Below are 17634 nucleotides of genomic sequence, written 5' to 3'. Positions count from 1 at the left end.
ACGAGCTGACAGAAGTAGGCTTCAGAAAGCTGGTAATGACAAACATCTCCAAGCTACGGGAGGATGTTCGAATGCATCGCAAGGAAGCTAAAAACCTTGAAAAAAGATTAGATGAATGGCTAACTAGAATAAACAGTGTAGAGAAGACCTTAAATGACCTGATGGAGCTGAAAACCATGGCATGAGAGCTACGTGACACATGCACAAGCTTCAGTAGCTGATTCAATCAAGTGGAAGAAAAGGTATCAGTGATTGAAGATAGAGAAAAAAGAGAAAAGAAAAGAAAAAAGCCTCCAAGAAATATGGGACTACGTGAAAAGACCAAATCTATGTTTGATTGGTGTACCTGAAAATGACGAGAATGGAACCAAGCTGGAAAACACTCTTCAGGATATTATCCAGGAGAACTTCCCCAACCTAGCAAGGCAGGCCAACATTCAAATTCAGGAAATATAGAGAACACCACAAAGATACTCCTCGAGAAGAGCAACCCCAAGAAACATAATTGTGAGATTCATTAAGGTTGAAATGAAGGAAAAAATGCTGAGGGCAGCCAGAAAGAAAGGTCGGGTTACCCACAAAGCGAAGCCCATCAGACTAACAGCTGATCTCTTGGCAGAAACCCTGCAAGTCAGAAGAGAGTGGGGGCCAATATTCAACATTCTTAAAGAAAAGAATTTTCAACCCAGAATTTCATATCCAGCCAAACTAAGCTTCATAAGTGAAGGAGAAATAAAATCCTTTACAGACAAGCAAATGCTGAGAGATTTTGTCACCACCACATCTGCCTGACAAGAGCTCCTGAAGGAAGCACGAAACATGGAAAGGAACAACTGGTACCAGCCACCATGAAAACATGCCAAATAGTAAAGACCATCGATGCTATGAAGAAACTGCATCATTTAACGGGCAAAATAACCAGTAAACATCATAATGACAGGATCAAATTCACACATAACAATATTAACCTTAAATGTAAATGGGCTAAATGCCCCAATTAAAAGACACAAACTGGCAAATTGGATAAAGAGTCAAGACCCGTCAATGTGCTGGATTCATCAGGAGACCCATCTCAAATGCAGAGACACACATAGACTCAAAATAAAGGGATGGAGGAAGATCTACCAAGCAAATGGAAAGCAAAAAAAAAAAAAAAAAAAAGGAGCGGTTGCAATCCTAGTCTCTGATAAAACAGACTTTAAACCAACAAAGATCAAAAGAGACAAAGAAGGCCATTACATAATGGTAAAGGGATCAATTCAACAAGAAGAGCTAACTATACTAAATATATATACACCCAACACATGAGCACCCAGATTCATAAAGCAAGTCCTCAGAGACATACAAAGAGACTTAGACTCCCACACAATAACAATGGGAGACTTTAACACCCCACTATCAATATTAGAGAGATCAATGAGACAGAAGGTTAACGAGGATATCCAGGACCAGAACTCAGCTCTGCAACAAGCAGACCTAATAGACATCTACGTAACTCCTCACCCCAAATCAACCGAATATACATTATTCTCAGCATCACATCACACTTATTCTAAAATTAACCACATAATTGGAAGTAAAGCACCCCTCAGCAAATGTAAAAGAACAGAAATCACAACAAACTGTTTCTCAGACCACAGTGCAATCAAATTAGAACTCAGGATTAAGAAACTCACTCAAAACCACAGAACTACATGGAAACTGAACAACTTGCTCCTGAATGACTACTTGGTAAATAACGAAATGAAGGCAGAAATAAAGATGTTCTTTGAAACCAATGAGAACAAAGACACAATGTACCAGAATCTCTGGGACACATTTAAAGCAGTGTGTAGACGGAAATTTATAGCACTAAATGCCCACAAGAGAAATCAGGAAAGATCTAAAATTGACACCCTAACATGACAATTAAAAGAATTAGAGAAGCAAGAGCAAACAAATTCAAAAGCTACCAGAAGGCAAGAAACAACTAAGATCAGAGCAGAACTGAAAGAGACAGAGACACAAAAAACCCTTCAAAAAATCAATGAATCCAGAAGCTAGTTTTTTGAAAAGATCAACAAAATTGATAGACTGCTAGCAAGACTAATAAAGAAAAGAGAGAAGAATCAAATAGATGCAATAAAAAAATGATAAAGGTGATATCACCACTGATCCCACAGAAATAGAAACCACCATGACAGCATACTATAAACACCTCTATGCAAATGAACTAGGAGATCTAGAAGAAATGGATAAATTCCTGGACTTATACACTCTTCCAAGACTAAACCAGGAAGAAGCTGAATCTCTGAATAGACCAATAACAGGCTCTGAAATTGAGGCAGTAATTAATAGCCTACCAACCAAAAAAAGTCCAGGACCAGACGGATTCACAGCCGAATTCTATCAGAGGTAGAAAGAGGAGCTGGGAACATTCCTTCTGAAACTATTCCAATCAATAGAAAAAGAGGGAATCCTCCCTAACTCATTTTATGAGGCCAACATCATCCTGATACCAAAGCCTGGCAGAGACACAATAAAAAAAGAGAATATTAGACCAATATCCCTGATGAACATTGATGCGAAAATCCTCAATACCATTTGACCCAGCCATCCCATTACTGGGTATATACCCAAAGGATTATAAATCATGCTGCTATAAAGACACAGGCACATGTATGTTTATAGCGGCACTATTCGCAATAGCAAAGACTTGGAACCAACCGAAATGTCCAAAAACGATAGACTGGATTAAGAAAATGTGGCACATATACACCATGGAATCCTATGCAGCCATAAAAAAAGATGAGTTCATGTCCTTTGTAGGGACATGGATGAAACTGGAAACCATCATTCTCAGAAAACTATCGCAAGGACAAAAAACCAAACACCGCATGTTCTCACTCATAGGTGGGAACTGAACAATGAGAACACATGGACACAGGAAGGGGAACATCACACACTGGGGACTGTTGTGGGGTTGGGGGAGCGGGGAGGGATAGCATTAGGAGATATACCTAATGCTAAATGACGAGTTAATGGGTGCAGCACACCAACATGGCACATATATACACATGTAACAAACCTGCACGTTGTGCACATGTACCCTAAAACTTAAAGTATAATAATAATAAAAAAATACTGGAAAATCAAATCCAGCAGCACATCAAAAAGTTTATCCACCATGATCAAGTCTGCTTCATCCCTGGGATGCAAGGCTGGTTCAACATATGCAAATCAATAAACATAATCCATCACATAAACAGAACCAATGACAAAAACCACATGATTATCTCCATAGATGCAGAAAAGGTCTTCAACAAAATTCAACAGCCCTTCATGCTAAACACTCTCAAGAAACTAGGTATTGATGGAATGTATCTCAAAATAATAAGAGCTATTTATGATAAACACTGAATGGGCAAAAACTGGAAGCATTTCCTTTGAAAACCAGCACAAGACAAGGATGCCCTCTCTCACCACTCCTATTCAACATAGTGTTGGAAGTTCTGGCCAAGGCAATCAGGCAAGAGAAAGAAATAAAGGGCATTCAATCAGGAAGTGAGGAAGTCAAATTGTCCCTGTTTGCAGATGACATGACTGTATATTTAGAAAACCCCATCGTCTCAGCCCAAAATCTCCTTAAGCTGATAAGCAACTTCAGCAAAGTCTCAGGATACAAAATCAATGTGCAAAAATCACAAGCATTCCTATACAATATTAACAAACAGAGTGCCAAATCATGAGTGAACTCCCATTCACAGTTGCTACAAAGAGAATAAAATACCTAGGAATACAACATACAAAGGATCTGAAGGACCTCTTCAAGCAGAACTACAAACCACTGCTAAGCAAAATAAAAGAGGACACAAACAAATGGAAGAACATTCCATGCTCATGGATAGAAGAATCAATATTGTGAAAATGGCCATACTGTCCAAAGTAATTTGTAGATTCAATGACATCCCCATCAAGCTACCAATGACTTTCTTCACAGAATTGGAAAAAACTACTTTAAAGTTCATATGGAACCAAAAAAGAGCCCTCATTGCCAAGACAATCCTAAGCAAAAAGAACAAAGCTGGAGGCATCGTGCTACCTGACTTCAAACTATACTACAAGGCTACAGTAACCAAAACAGCATGGTACTGGTACCAAAACAGATAGTCCAATGGAACAGAAAAGAGCCCTCAGAAATAACACCACACACCTACAACCATCTGATCTTTGACAAACCTGACAAAAACAAGAAATGGGGAAAGGATTCCCTTTTTAATAAATGGTGCTGGGAAAACTGGCTAACCATATGTAGAAAGCTGAAACTAGATCCCTTCCTTACACCTTATACAAAAATTAATTCAAGATGGATTAAAGACTTAAACGTTAGACCTAAAACCATGAAAACCCTAGAAGAAAACCTAGGCATTACCATTCAGGACATAGGCATGGGCAAGGACTTCATGTCTAAAACACCAAAAGCAATGACAACAAAAGCCAGAATAGACAAATGGGATCTAATTAAACTAAAGGGCTTCTGCACAGCAAAAGAAACTACCATCAGAGTGAACAGGCAACCTACAGAATGGGAGAAAATTTTTGCAATCTACCCATCTGACAAAGGGCTAATATCCAAAATCTACAAAGAACTTAAACAAATTTACAAGAAAAAATCAAACAACCACATCAAAAAGTGGGCAAAGGATATGAATAGACACTTTAAAAGAAGACATTTATGCAGCCAACAGACACATGAAAAAATGCTCATCATCACTGGTCATCAAAGAAATGCAAATCAAAACCACAATGAGATACCATCTCATGCCAGTTGGAATGGAGATCATTTAAAAGTCAGGAAACAACAGGTGCTGGGGAGGATGTGGAGAAATAGGAACACTTTTACACTGTTGGTGGGAGTATAAACTAGTTGAACCATTGTGGAAGACAGTGTGGCGATTCCTCAAGGATCTAGAACTAGAAATACCATTTGACCCAGCCATCCCATTACTGGGTATATACCCATAGGATTATAAATCATGCTGCTATAAAGACACATGCACACATATGTTTATTGTGGCACTATTCACAATAGCAAAGACTTGGAACCAACCCAAATGTCCATCAGTGATAGATCGGATTAAGAAAATGTGGCATATATACACCATGGAATACTATGCAGCTGTGAAAAAGGATGAGTTCATGTCCTTTGTAGCAACATGGATGAAGCTGGAAACCATCATTCTGAGCAAACTATTGGAAGGACAGAAAACCAAACACTGCATGTTCTCACTCATAGGTGGGAACTGAACAATGAGAACACTTGGACACAGGGCAGGGAACATCACACACCGGGGCCTGTCATGGGGGGATGGGGGAGGGATAGCATTAGGAGTAATACCTAACGTAAATGACGAGTTAATGCGTGCAGCAAACCAACACGGCACATGTATACATATGTAAGAAACCTGCATGTTGTGCACATGTACCCTAGAACTTAAAGTATAAAAAAAATAGTTTTCTTTTCTAATTCTGGGAAGAGTGTCAATGGTAGTTTAATGGGAATAGCATTCAATCTATTAATTACTTTGGACAGTATGGCCACTTTCACAATATTGATTCTTCCCATCCATGAGCATAGACTGTTTCTTCATTTGTTGTAAAGCACTTTCAAAGATGTGCAAAATAATTGCTCTGTGTTTTAGGGTTTACTGGCCCATCTTTTCCCTCTCCCCACAAAACCACCACTCAAATTTAACATGCATTTGATTAATCTGATTCAGAATCAGCCTTATATTAAAAGTCAGGCCATAACAGAAAAATAGGGGGACAGACAGTAAGACTCATTAAGAAGGACTAGACTAGTTGGGAAGACGGGATGACTCAGGTATTAGACATTACTATGTTGAATCTTCCTCTTCTATAAATGATTGGGTGCCCTGGACAGTGAGTTAAGTGCATAGATATAGACTGCTGACTGACCCAGTCTAAGAATTTTCTGAAGGGTGGATGGCAAATAAATGAACAGCTCTGAGGCCTTAACTTGGCTTTCTAGCAAGGATTCCATCAGAAAAATCATGTGGATTTAAGAGAAGAAGTTATCAGGAAGAAATTTAAGAATCAGGAACCTATACTGTTTTAAGAAAACAGAAATCCTGTTTTAACAAACAGGAAGCTATGCTTTCCTCATCCAATGGAAAACAGCTTAATATGGCATCAAGCTTATACCCTCTCCCGTTTCTGTCAAACTCTGAGGATACTTGAGGTTTTCTGGTTGTGTCCACTGAAAAGAGGAGTGGGGAGTGCAAGAAGGCTCACAGAGGGCAGCAGGAGGCTAAGTAGAGTTTCACTCTCATGTGGGCTAATGAATGATAATGAATCAATTAAATAACACAATTTCTGAAGTACCTGACAGTTCTAAGAGTCTCTCATTCTGTAAGAGGACCTCCATATGATCAGTTTTTGCTTATAAAGTTAAACATAGTAAGGGATTGGAAGCATACTGGGTGAAATTAACTACTCCAACTAGAACTTCCAGTACAATGTTAAATAGAAGTGATGTAAGCAGACATTCTTGTCTTATTGTTGATTTCAGGGGGAAAGTATCTAGTCTTTTATCATCAACTATGATGATAATTGTGAGTTTTTCATAACTGTGATTTATCAAGTTGAGTAAGCTCCCTTCTATTCCTAGTTTTTTGCATGTTTTTATTATGAAAGGGTATTGGATTTTGTCTAAAAATTTTTTTCACTTATTGAGATAATCATATGACTTAAAAAATTCTACCGATATAGTGCTTTACGTTAATTGATTTTCAGATATTAAACCAACCTTGCATTTCTGGGTAATCCCATGTGGCCATAGTGTATAATTCATTCTATGTTGCTGGATTCAGTTTGCTAGCATTTTGTTGAGGATTGTTGCATCCATATTCTCCAGAGGTATTAGTCTGCAGTTTTCATTTTTTATGTTTTATTGAATGCCACTTCAAATCCTTTGCCAAAAAAGACTAAGCATAACAAATTTCATTAAAATACCATTTCTTCTATGTCATACCATTCATTCAAGTCTATAAACTTTGGTTCCCAACTGCTCGTGATAAAATATACACTTCTTAGTGTATCTTCCATTATTTCCCTGCACAGTTCCTTCACTCTAGAAAGATTAATTTTTTTCACTGTCCTACCAAAAAATCCTAATGCTTAGAAACCTCCACGTCTTTATTCATGCTATTTCTCCATGTTGAAACTATTTTTTATTGATGGCAAATTTAATGTATACTCCCTTACTGCTTCTCTTCTCTAACAACCAACATCCTTAATCTAAATGAAGTTTAGGCTTGTAAGAAAAATTAAGTCAGTTACAGAAAATGTAAAGCTATATAATCTCTGCACACGAGTAGGTGTATTTATATTTTGAGGTAGTTCCAAATATTTATTATTGTCTGTCTTCCCTACTAAATATATGTGCATTAGACATGAAAGCAGAAATATTACCTCTTTTGTTTAATGCTGTCACCCTAGTATCCATAATAGTATTTGACGCATAGGAGGCATTCAATATTTATTGAATAAATAAATAGGCTACTCTTTTCTATGTATTCCACTTCTCCATGAAGCTAGATCATTGATCACCTGGCCTAAAGCCTTCTCTTTCTTCCCTGGACTCATAAGTCTAATTTTCCATAGAGTATATTTAACACTTTTCATATACTGCTCTGAGTTCTTAGTTATCATTCCATTTGTCTATGCTTTACTTCCCAACCAGATTATAAAAGCCTAGAGGGCAGAGACCATAGTGTACTTATTTTTCAAACCTCTGTCAGACTGTAGCCAGTGTATCTGGCATATAGTAAGCTCTCAATGAACAATGCCTAATAAGACTAGCGTAGACAGTTTACTGGAGCCTGAGGAAAACTTAACGCATTTACTGGATTTCTGGCAAAGAAATCTATAGGGATAAACATCATGGGGGCTGAAAATTTTAAAATTTTATTGTCTTCTTGATGTCTTACATCTACTTTGAGGCAACTGTGGTGTTTTCCTGTCTCAGCACAAGCTTGTTTATCAGGAGAAAATTACACTAATTTTAACGTTGACAAGGCCTAACTAAAATTGTGACAGATGTGAGAGTTCAATGTACCTAAGAAATCCTTCCCTTGGAGAAGATAGGCAGTAAAATACTTAATATCTTTTCCAGGCCTAGATTTTAAGAAATTTGAGGTATTCCGTCACAGCCCCTCTTGTCCTTTTAAGGCTCTGCTTGAATCCATATTTTACTGGAGTCTGTGTTTATTGCCTGGTTACAAGTGGTCTATCCAGGTGCCTCTGAAAGGAAACAAAATACTCAGCATAGCAACACCAATAGGAGGTCACCCTATGCATATCGTCCAAAATTCCCATCTCCTTTCCTAAATACAGAAATATGTAGCCTCTGATCTGGCTTTTTCCATTCATGACTACCTCAAGAGAGTAAGCAGCAAGACCGACCAGAAAATCGACATACTCCTTCATGCCAGTCTCAGTTTCCTCTCTCAAACCCCCCTTTACCCACATGCATTTTGGTTATTCATTTCCTCTATATCCCTCATCTTACCTGAAATTCTATTCCAGAAGACATCTGTTATTACGCAACCACACAATTAAAGTCCCTTTCCTTCTTCTTTACCTTCAAGTTCCTATTTCTAATTATTTCTGACAATCCTTAGTTTGGTCAAGAATGTCTTGGAGAATTTTTCACTTTCTACTAAAAGACAAGAATTTCTATGCCTAAAATGAAGCACAACTACAAAACTGATTATTTCTAAGTTAAAACAGTAAAATACCACCCCAAACAACCTCTACCATCACTTCACATGGCATAAGCTCAATGACAGTTCATAGCAAAAAAGCCCAATGCATTATTTTCTATTTCATAAAAAACTTTAAATATCCAAGTAGATATTAGCCAGACAACATTTTTCTATACTATTATACTTTTTAATGTAGTAAATAATAATACTTAATATTTTAGAATGAAAGAATAAAGATATTGGTCAATTTACTAATTTATATTAATAGAAGAACACATTATTTTATTGTTCCCTAGATTTTTCTCTAACATTCTTTACACCAACCTCAAATCACAATCTTCTCTCATCTGGCTGTTTTATGCCAAGTGTGCCGCAGGTCTAGAGAACTAACAGTCCCAGAACAGAGAAGGCAGAAAAAGAACTTCAGGAAAAATGGCTCTGGGGGGAAAAGCAGAGGTGATGCTATTCGATAAGTTTTACAGTGTGAAAAATTAAATTGCGAGGAATTATGGTAGAGCCACTGATGGGAATGGGGTGTGCGTTAGTGAGAGGGAAGACAGAGATTTTTAAAAAACTGAGTAAATAGAAAATGTAGCAATGAGTGGCCAGGCGCAGTGGCTCACGCCTGTAATCCCAGAACTTTGGGAGGCCAAGGCAGGCGGATCACCAGGTCAGGAGATCGAGACCATCCTGGCTAACACGGTGAAACCCCGTCTCTCCTAAAAATACAAAAAATTAGCCGGGCGTGGTGGCGGGCGCCTCTAGTCCCAGCTACTCGGGAGGCTGAGGCAGGAGAATGGCGTGAACACAGGAGGCGGAGCTTGCAGTGAGCCGAGATTGCGCCACTGCACTCCTGCCTGGGAGACAGAGCGAGACTCCATCTCAAAAAAAGAAAAAAGAAAAAAAAGAAAATGTGGCAATGAGTAACTTCAATAGTAAAATGACAAGAAATATTATCACACTACATTAATTCACTAAGCAATGAACAATATTTATATCATCTTTATAATGAAGACAATTAAGATTGACAAAAAAGAATATGATATAAGAATACTGGGAAGATGGAAGTGTAGAAAGGAAGTGCAGAAGAGATAGAACCCTTATTAACAACAAATAGCAAGTGAATACGGTAATAGGGAATCAAGATATGATAGGCCATTCAGGTTATTTAGAAATATGGAAATAAATACTTGAAGAAACAGCTTATAAAGAGTGGCTGACTGTTGGGCAGAATGAGGTGAGGGTATCAGGGATTGATGCTACTTTGATGTATTTCATTAGCAAAATTTGGTTGTTAAAATTCACTTACTAATTTGATAAAAATAAAACCATATTATAATAAATAAACTAATGCCCATGATTATATAATTGGGCCTTTATGAGACTAAGACTATCTTGTAAGAAGGTAAAGAACCTTCTGAAGGGTAAACCAATTGTGTCAACCACAGTCCTGTTAAACACTGGTTAAGAAATCAAGGCTGAGTAGTGGAGCTCTGTTTTGGGAGTAAACTTAGAATTGTAAATTTGGCTTTGGCTGTTAAGGTATCCAAAAGGTTGACTCTCACCTCATGTAAAAGGCAAGGAACTAACATGTAAGAATCCCAAATAACGTGCCTGTTGTACTAGTCCTCTAGAGCCAGATGTCACGGAAACATGAAATATAGAATGGGATGGTGAACTATCGCAGCGAGCTAGATAAGGAAGGAAATGTACTTTGTAATATGGAATGCATTTTGATTTTTGAATATTAAATTTGTTTCTTTTATGTAATTTCTCAGCCTGTCATAACGCAGGTTGAGTATCCTTAATTGGAAAATTCAAAATCCAAAATGCTCCAAAATCTGAAATTTTTTTAGTATTAACGTGACATGACTCTCAAAGAAAATGCTCAGGGAAGCATTTCAAATTTTGAGTTTTCAGATAGGGGACTCAACCTGTATGTATAGAGAAATAAGGTTCATTTAAAGGCAGAAACCAAATATTCTGGGAGCTAGAAATCATGGAAATTATAGTACTTGAAGGGGACAGTGAAAATCTAATAGTATGAATACAGGCCCATTGGTCTAGTGGCCTCACCCCATCTAAAACACATTTTTCAGAGCAAAAATATTGGAAAATTTTTGTTTAATGTGGGAGACAATTTTCCTAATCCATCATCCAGTCATTTTGGCTGTGAACTGGTAAATTTCATTATGTGTTAGTTGTCTTTTTAATTAAAATTAATATTAAATATTGGTTCTGGCAAGAATCCTCAGATTACTTTACGGTTTTCACTTCTAGTTTCAAAGATATGTGCATTTTTCCCCTTTGTTTATTGAATAGATGTTTCCTCCACTAATACATAATCCCCCTATCATATTATACTTTTTTTTTTTTGAGACAGGGTCTCACTTTGTTACCTGGTTGGAGTGCAATGGTGTGATCTTGGCTCACTGCAGCCTCGACCTCCCAGGTTCAAGTGATCCTCCTGCCTCAGCCCTGCAAGTAGCAGAGACTAAAGGCACATGCCACCATGCCTGCCTAATTTGTGTGTGTGTGTGTGTGTGTGTGTGTGTGTGTGTGTGTGTGTGTGTTTTGTAGAGATGCAGTTTTGCCATGTTGCCCAGGCTGGTCTTGAACTCCTAAGCTCAAGTGATCTGCCCGCACCTTGGCCTCCCAAGTGATATTATTCTTGAATAATTTTTAATCTTCCTTTTATTTTTTTGAGACAGGGTCTCTTGCTCTATCACCCATGCTGGAGTGGAGTGGCACCATCACACCTCACTTCAGCCTTGACCTCTGGGGCTCAAGTGATCCTCCCACCTCAGCCTCCCGAGTAGCTGGGACTACAGGCACACACCACCACATGCAACTAATTTTTAATTTTTTTTTGTTGAAATGGGGACTCACTATCCTGCCCAGGCTGATTGTGAACTCCTGGGCTCAAGCAATCCGCCCACCTCAGCCTCCCAGTGTTGGACTTACAGGTGTGAGCCACTAGGCACCCAGCCAAAATTAATCTTTCAAATAAATATTGCCAAAGGTTGTCTGAAAATGTTAACACCTTCAAAAAATATACTACATTAGGCCAGGTGTGGTGGCTCACACCTGTAATCCCAGCAGTTTGGGAGGCCAAGGCAGATGGATCCCTTGAGGCCAGGAGTTCAACACCAGCCTGGGCAATATGGTGAAACCTCATCTCTACTAAACAAAAGAAAAGAAAAGAAAAGAAAAGAAATATATATATATATATTTAATGTTATATATATTAATTATACATAATTAAATATACATAATTTCTTCTTATAGAACTATGTTGCATCAACATAGTATCAGATGGTGGACTTAGAACAGATTTGACATTTACTGGTCTATAATTCACAGGGTGCCTTCTAGAAAACCTGATAAATGGGATTCTTATTATTAATCCATAATTCCTATGAAATAGTAGTTGTTTATAATATCAGGATTATATTATATATACTAACATGTATATCTTCCTCCATTTTCCCAATAACTTAGCCAGGTTTAATTTTCCTATTTTTCTTTTGTTCTCAAAAGGAATTTTTAAAAAAATTGTTGGCTAGGCACAGTAGCTCACGCCTGTAATCTCAGCACTTTGGGAGGCTGAGGGGGCCAGATCACCTGAGGTCGGGAGTTCAAGACAAGCCTGGCTGACATTGTGAAATCACGTCTCTACTAAAAATACAAAAATTAGCTGGGTATGGTGACATGCACCTGTAATCCCAGCAACCCGGGACGCTGAGGCAGGAGAATTGCTTGAACCCAGGAGGTGGAGATTGCAGTGAGCTGAGATGGCACTCTAGTCTGGGCAACAGAGTGAGACTCCGTGTTAAAAAAAAAAGAAAGAAAGAAAGAAAGGCCAGGCGCGGTGGCTCACGCCTGTAATCCCAGCACTTTGGGAGGCCAAGGAGGGCAGATCACGAGGTCACGAGTTGGAGACCAGCCTGGCCAACATGGTGAAACCCCGTCTCTACTAAAAATACAAAAAAATTAGCTGGGCATGGTGGCAGGCACCTGTAATCCCAGCTACGTGGGATACTGAGGCAGGAGAATTGTTTGAACCTGAGAGGTGGAAGTTACAGTGGGCTGAGATCGCACTACTGCACTCCAGCCCAGGCGACAGTGCAAGACTCCATCTCAAAAAAAAAGAAAAAAAAATTCTGGTAGTGTTGTTGTGAAACCACACTAAAGGCAATCAACTAGCCCTTTCAAAATATACCTTTGACTTATTATGGAGTATTCTATGTAACTAAAATGTCTTTATATTCATAGACTAGCAGATATGAGTTCTGCTAATAATTTAAAAATTGAATCATATTCTTCCAGTGCACTGTAGGTCTTTTCTAAAATACGGAAAGTTTTACAGATATGTCCCACCAGGGTTGGGAAAAGGTCCAAACAGTCCTTTCTCATTATATAGCCTGTATTTTTTAATTGTGATATATATACATAACATAAAATTTACCATTTTAACCATTTAAAAATGTTCATGTCATCTGTACTTGTAATATGATCTCTAAGAAGAAACACATAGCCACAGATACCTTTTTAAAGCAGAAGAAAACAATGCCTATATAGTTTACGGAATTGTCAGTAATGATTCAACATTCAGGGAAGGATAGTTAGTAACTCCGAGTATCCCTTTATTTACTGAAATTGATCCCCCTAAGAGGCATTAAAAGTATGTAGATAAATAGTTAATAACCAATTTGCTAAGTTATGTGAATCCTAAAACAATCAGTGATCTGAGAGTTAGATTTCTTTGACAGGAGACATTTATAAAATTGGCACAAATAATATAGGAATGTAATTTACTTTTATCCAACTCAACTTGCTTCAGAGGCCTCATCGAAAATGCATGGGGAAATATTTTTTAATTTGCTTATTTTGATGTCATATAATTACATTTTTATGGATTCCCTAATGTATATTTAAAAACTCAATATTTTGGACAATATGTAGTTCTAAAGTCCTTTTACAATAGATATTGAATAAATAGATATCATGGCTAGTAAAGGATGATTACATTAGAAAATCATTTACAAAAGATAAAAGATTTATCATTTTAAAATAATTTTTTTAAAAATAAAGAAGACTGAAAGAATAATGTCACAGTTATAATACATAATCTGTGGCAGAATGGAAACAGTGCTGACTTGAGACCTAAATTCCTCTTCATTTCCTACCTTCTTACTAAACAGAACTTAAAGCTTTCTTTACAACTCATGACAAAAATAAAAGCAACATCTTTTTCATATATAAACAGTTTGTTCACCTGAGTTTTTATAAAATATTTATTCTAAGTACAGAATGTTAGAGAAATGTGGAAACAAAATGCAAAGAAAATATATCTTGAGAAGAATCTAACAAATAGCTTTCTTTGTTTCTTGCTGACATACTTTGTGGTTACAATACAGGCTTCCAATGAACACTGTATCAAAATTAAAATTCTAGGCAGGCATTCAACTTTTATGATTGTGTCCATTCATTTCCCACTGAGCATGGGAAACAAATGCTTTACAAGTTATTTATTGAAGATATTCCCATAGTACTCTTAGAAAGTTCACTTCCAAAAGAGGCCTTATTACTGTAATGTATCCGAGTAAATGAAAGCTATACCAGGATTCTCGCATCATACTTTAGAACTTCAGCAGGCTAATAAAGTTATGTATATAACAGAGGTTCCTCTGAGGTCAGTCCACAGCAATTTTGCAAAGGTACATGATAAATAAGAGGAATAGAGACCAAACAAATTTCTAAAATAAAGAATATCAATCCAAAATGACTTATGACTATATTTTGAATAAAGTTAAACACAGAATAATTAAGCAGAAAGCAGTCAGCTTAATTATAGTTTTCCTACTGTGAATGTAAAGTTGGAACAAATGCAGTAAGCCTGATCAAAATCAGGTAACAGTTACCTCTGCAGCCTTGTTTGATGGTTCCAGTCCAGTCATATTTGCTACTATTAACTGATGTAAGAGTTGAACTTGAGCCACACTTAGGAAGAAGTCCAGGTTTGTGGTTATATTCACTTCTAAGGAATGGCCACACACTAAAATCTCCTGAAGCAAAAACGGTAGAATACAGATAAAGAAACATGATAGCTTTCAGATGATAATTTATCATTCTTACTTATTTGACCTTCACTACTTTGGTGACATTTCCTAGGACTCAAGTTCATACATTAAGGAGAAGAGCAAAAATGGTGAGCACAGCCACTTGACACAATTTAACAGATGAATTTCATATTTATGAGGGCCTGCTGTGTGTTGGGCCTTGTGCTAGATATACACAACTAACAATAAGAAGTCTTCACCTTTTCATACCTATTTGACTTTTCCATAACTCCAACTATTATTATTGTTTTCAATATGTAGCAACAATATAATTGTGTAGCATAATCTTGTTCATGAATTCAAACCAACTAATATTTACTGAGCATTTCCTAAGTACTAGGTACGATAGTAGAGTCCTATGAATATCACAAAGAATAATGTCGGCCTTGAAGGGCAACCTGCTCTTGAGGAGGTTATAATCTAGTTGGGCAGACAGATGTAAACAGACAATTTTAGGCAGGCAATTAATTGCTAAGAGCCACAGTATGAATATTCTCCAAAGGATATACTCTAAATGATTTATAAGAAAACGGAGTGTTGAAGCTAAAGACAGCTAGACTAATTAATTTCACTTCTTTAAACTGCTAAAATCTTGGCAGCATTGGGTAGATGTCCATAACTTAATTGGTGCTGTTCTGCAAAACCTAGTCACTTGAACATTTATCACTGGAAAACCGTTCAGACAAGGAAAACAGAACAAAACAAAAAACCAATACAATAGTTTCACTTAATAAGTCCTGCCTCTTGTCATGATGTGCATGTGGACAATGTTCAAATGCTTGGAAATGTCCAACAGATCTTCCCCTTATAGTATCATCCAGAGGAATGGATTTAAGGAGACTATGACTAGTCCAAATGCAAATGAGACAGCTTAGAGCAGCTTTTAATAAAGCCATGAAGAACAGCATGTCTGAAATAATTATCCTTTTTTTTTTGGTTAAACAATTTTTTCCTCCACAAGTTCTCTGTATTCATTCACTCTAGTTAGAATTCTTATTCTATTCCTCAAGTATTGACAAAAAGGGAAAAAAGTATACCAATTCAGGATTAAAAAAAAATAGTCACCGTAACATTACCCAAGAGCACAAAAATTTGTACTAAAAATAACTTGGCTTTATTGGTGGCATACATCCTGTGAAAACTTGCAAATAATTGATCTTATACTAGTAGGTTAAATAGTATGAATGCAATTGGTAGGATTAGCAGCTAATAATATAAAAACAAGGATAATTTTCATTTTTATAGAACTTTAGCTTCTCAGATTCCTCTTATAATTATTTCTTCTATTGATCAGTTTGAACCTTATGACAATCTAGAGGGCAACAAGAGTAGCTATATATGAGGCAACTAAGGTATGCATAACAATCTGGGTAGCTTGGTTAGCTCCTCTATGCCTCAGTTTTGTCATCTACAAAATACGGATATGAGGAGTAGCAAATAAGATTATTATGAGGACTAAATGAGTTATTACAAGGAAAGCAATAACTGAAGAGTACTACAAAGTGCTCCATAAATGTTAGCTATGATAGTAGCCATTATTATTAATGAGCTAATTTGAAGTCCTATGGGCTGAAACTGTGGCAATCCCTAACATACAAAGAGGAGCAATTCCATTATTTAGACTAAAATAAAATCAAAATTATGTTCTAACCTCAGTATGCAAATTTTCTGGAGAAACTACTTTGGTGAAAATGACAGCAGGTGCTCCAGTTATTCGGACAGAAAAATCTGTCAAAACGGGGGTCAAAATTGCTCTCCTTTCTTGATGCCGCCGTATGCTAAAAGATAGAGTAAAAGATTATTAGCCATTTCATTATTTTCAAAGACAATTTTCATTAAATTTGTACAAGTCTTTGTACTACAAACATGTATGGCAAAATTACATTATTATTTTGAGAGTGCCTATTTGCATATTTTACAGTCATCGTTTCTTAACTTCAATTCCATAAGATTTACAAAAGATGAAAACATCTTGAGAAATTAAGGTGTAATTAAGCAATTTCATATTAGTATCATCCCAGGACTTTTTAACAAATTAATTTTTAAATTTTTACTCCTTTTTGTTCTTGCAAATAGTTTCATATCACTTTTGTTACCACCAATAATCTTACTATTTTTTGGAATAATTTTTCATTTCCTATTTTTAATATCTGACCTTCTATTTGATAACTGCTGTCTTGCTGACCTCATTAGGGTCATAAGCATATCCTTTTAGTCTTTGAATTCTTTTCTTTTTAAGGTCTAAGAACAATGTTAATTCATTTTTTTTTAAGACAAGGTCTTGCTCTGTCACCTAGGCTGGAGTGCAGTGGTGCAATCATGGCTCACTGTAGCCTCAATCTCCTGGGCGCAAGTGATCCTCCCACCTTGGCCTCCTGAGTAGCTGGGACCACAGGAATGTACCACCATGCCTGGCTAATTTATTTTTATTTTTTCTAGAGACAGAGTCTCCTCACGTTGCCCAGGCTGGTCTTGAACTCCTAGGCTCAAGCAATTCTCCTGCCTAGGACTCTCAAAGTGCTGGGATTACAAGTGTTGAGCCACCATGTCCAGCTGTTAAGGTTTTTGTGTGAGATATTAAATGCTTCCTGAAAACAATCCTGTATGTAAAGTAGGGACTGTTAATAGCCCCATTATTATCTGTAAGGAAATGAAGTTCAAGTACTGGGCTAAGGCTACACAATGAGAACAAAGGTTCCAGAATTGGACCTGGAGGGCAAGTTGACACCAAAACAGCTTTTGGC

The 17634-nt window shown here is 37.0% G+C and overlaps 1 protein-coding gene across 2 annotated transcripts in view; it reads right to left on the bottom strand.

Moving 5' to 3' along the window:
• Positions 1–17634, bottom strand: part of VPS13B (vacuolar protein sorting 13 homolog B) — an 864307-nt gene that overhangs the window by 285255 nt on the left and 561418 nt on the right. For both annotated transcript variants that reach the window (NM_152564.5, NM_017890.5), the window contains exons 32-33: positions 16542–16668; positions 14693–14836 (exon numbers count right to left, since the gene is read on the bottom strand). In NM_152564.5, coding sequence (NP_689777.3) covers positions 14693–14836; positions 16542–16668 — 271 coding nt within the window. The remainder of the gene's footprint in view (positions 1–14692; positions 14837–16541; positions 16669–17634) is intronic.

Source organism: Homo sapiens, chromosome 8, assembly GCF_000001405.40.
Source record: "Homo sapiens chromosome 8, GRCh38.p14 Primary Assembly".
Lineage (NCBI taxonomy): Eukaryota > Metazoa > Chordata > Mammalia > Primates > Hominidae > Homo > Homo sapiens.
The sequence above is the reverse complement of the archived record's forward strand: the minus strand, read 5'-3'. Positions and strand labels throughout refer to the sequence as shown.